The sequence below is a fragment of the Homo sapiens genome, chromosome 3 (genome assembly GCF_000001405.40).
Source record: "Homo sapiens chromosome 3, GRCh38.p14 Primary Assembly".
NCBI classification, from domain to species: Eukaryota; Metazoa; Chordata; class Mammalia; order Primates; family Hominidae; genus Homo; species Homo sapiens.
The window spans coordinates 116,848,040-116,850,660 of record NC_000003.12 but is presented as its reverse complement, the minus strand read 5'-3'; the positions used below and the strand labels follow the sequence as shown (position 1 = coordinate 116,850,660).

At 38.7% G+C, this 2,621-nt stretch overlaps 1 non-coding gene across 1 annotated transcript, besides 2 other annotated features; it reads left to right on the top strand.

Annotated features, from left to right (window-relative positions):
• Nucleotides 1-293: 293 nt before the first annotated feature.
• On the top strand, nucleotides 294-384 carry MIR4447 (microRNA 4447). Its single transcript, NR_039649.1, has one exon. It is a non-coding gene; the product is annotated as a microRNA 4447 (primary transcript).
• Nucleotides 602-1,237: an enhancer, noted in NCBI's record as "OCT4-NANOG-H3K27ac hESC enhancer chr3:116568271-116568906 (GRCh37/hg19 assembly coordinates)". NCBI's record gives its function as "activates a minimal SCP1, AML or CMV promoter by ChIP-STARR-seq in primed H9 embryonic stem cells {active_cell/tissue: H9 hESC(primed)}" and the evidence as "EXISTENCE:reporter gene assay evidence [ECO:0000049][PMID:30033119]".
• Nucleotides 1,238-1,872: an enhancer, noted in NCBI's record as "OCT4-NANOG-H3K27ac-H3K4me1 hESC enhancer chr3:116567636-116568270 (GRCh37/hg19 assembly coordinates)". NCBI's record gives its function as "activates a minimal SCP1, AML or CMV promoter by ChIP-STARR-seq in primed H9 embryonic stem cells {active_cell/tissue: H9 hESC(primed)}" and the evidence as "EXISTENCE:reporter gene assay evidence [ECO:0000049][PMID:30033119]".

Below are 2,621 nucleotides of genomic sequence, written 5' to 3'. Positions count from 1 at the left end.
TGGCTTAGCATGGCAGGCTTCACTGTAGAGTGGTCAGCTGGAGAGAGACCTCCCTGCTATGGGCATCCACAGGTCTTTTCTTTTAAACAGTGATTTCCCTCAAAAAGGAAGCCTCAGATCTATTGCCTGGAATATATAAGGCAAATGATTGGGTTTCTCAGAGATACAACTAGGTGAATAAAGGGAAGGGGAAGACCTCATAATTCAAGATGCAGATCTCACAGTTCGGTGTGTAATATTCATTTTATTCATCTGATTTTAATATTTCATTCCCATCCTCAGCTTTTTCTGGTGTTCTAGAGCATGGTTTCTCATCATTTGCACTACTGATACTTGGGGTCAGATAATTGTTTGTGGTGGGGGCTGTTGTTTGCATTGTAGGATGTTAGAAGAATCCTTCTTGGACTTCTACCCACTAGATGCCAGAAACACCCCACCACAAGTTGGGACAACCAAAAATGTCTTCATGGCATATTGCCAAATATCCCTTGGGAAGCAAAATTGAACATGGTTGAGACCTACTGTTCTAAAGTAATCCCTGTTATTCAATCTCTCCAATGTTGAATAAGAGGCTTGTCCTCTTCTGGCATGTGTCTATTTGTGTATGAGGGAGACCAGAAGAGGAGTGCAGTTATCATACTATGCAGGAGTTGATGCAGGATTCTAACCACATACCAGCTTTCAACCAATCTTTACATCTTTATCACCATTGAATCTTTAGATGTATCTGTTGTCTATAAGTCCAGAAGCTTTCCTGAATTCTGTGGTGGAAATCAACTGGTTTCTTCGTTTCTATAATGAATAATTTTACTCTTCTTTTCTCTTTAAACTCAGTTAGGAATTGTCTGTCTGCTTCCAGCTTCCAAAATTTTCTTGATGCATCTTAACTGCAGTTATTTGGTCTCTTGTTTTTTCTGTGAACCAAAAAGTATCTGAGACAGGTCTCAATCAATTTAGAAAGTTTACTTTGCCAAGGTTAAGGACACGCCCATGACACAGCCTCAGGAGGTGCTGACATGTGCCCAAGGTGGTTGACGTACACCTTGCCTTTATACGTTTTAAGGAGACATAATACATCAAGCAATCTATGTGAGATTTACATTGGTTCAATCTGGAAGAGTGGAGACAGCTGGAAGTGGGGGTGAGGTAGAGATGGGGATTCCAAATCATAGCTGGATTCAAAGATATTCTGATTGGTAATTTGCTGAAAGAGCTATTATAAATAGAAAGGAATGGCTGGGCTAGAATAAGGGGTTGTGGAGACCAAGGTTTTATCATGCAGATGAAGCCTCTAAGTAGCAGGCTTCAGAGAGAAAAGAATGTAAATGTTTCTTATCACATTTAAAGTCTGTGTTGATGTTAATGCTGATTGGCTTTTCCTGAATTCCAAAAGGGAGGAGGATATAATGAGGCATGTCTGACCCCCTCTTCCATCATGGCCTGTATTAGTTTTTCACGTTAACTCTGGAATGCCCTTGACGAGAGGAGGGGTCCATTTAGATGATTGAGGAGACTTAGAATTTTATTTTTGGTTTATAGTTCTCTTTGTCTTTAGGCATTGAAGGATTTTTTTTTTTCTTTTAACTTCTTTACTCTAATTTTTGTAAATTTTCAGAAGGAAAAGTTATAAATGTGTGTTCTGTTTATCATGCTTCTGAGGGAATTTTGAATATTAAAAGCAAATCTTTAAAAAAGTGTTTAGCCTGTGTTTATTGCAGGCTACTTTGGATTATGTCCTCAGAATGTGGAAAGTACGTTTTATTTTTGCTAGAGCATTATTACTAGCTCAAGAACATCATGACTAGTACAAGTTCATTAGTGTGTGCACAAGCAAAGGTATAGCTTCTGAAGATGGGTCTGGCAACAACTTACATCTAAGTTTTGAGAATAACCAGCACACTGCTAAAGCCATCGTTAGTGCTCAATTTATTCGGCTTGATTGGTTAACTGATTCATTTGATCCTTACAATTACTCTGTGAAGCAGAACACACAAACATTGGAATCCATAGAAAGAGACACAGTGAGGTTGACTTGTTTAACATTACAAAGCTCATTTTCAGCACATCTAAGATTTGAAGCCTAGTTCATTTCTTTTTCAACTTTCCTATTCTTTGCAGAATTAGCACAATACAGGGAAGCTCCTACAGCAAATAGGAAACAAAGAGACCATTAGTTTTAAAAAGTCAAAGAAGGTAGTGCTATCATGGGCATGTACACCTGATACTCCAAAGGCTTATGCAGCAGTAGCCTGTAGATTCTTGGGTAATGATGAGCCATCAACTGTGTACAAGCCCTGTGAAGAGATAATAATAACAGCAACAGTGAACACTCGCTGATGGTTTTACTCTGTGCCTGGCTCTATTATAAATTCTTCATATGCTGTTTCTCACTGTATCATCACAACTCCTATAGATAAGGCTCTGAGTTGGAAGAGAGTGGCTGAAACTAGAATCTCTATCTTGAAGCAATGCATTCTTCTGAAAGTACAGCCTCACCCTTTTATGATAGAGAAAGTATTATTAAATGCTGAGGAATAGGAGAATCTCAAAGTCCCATGTTCTTGACTTCTCCTGTGGTGGTAAGTGTAGGGCTACTAATGTGAACTTGTATTTAAGGAATC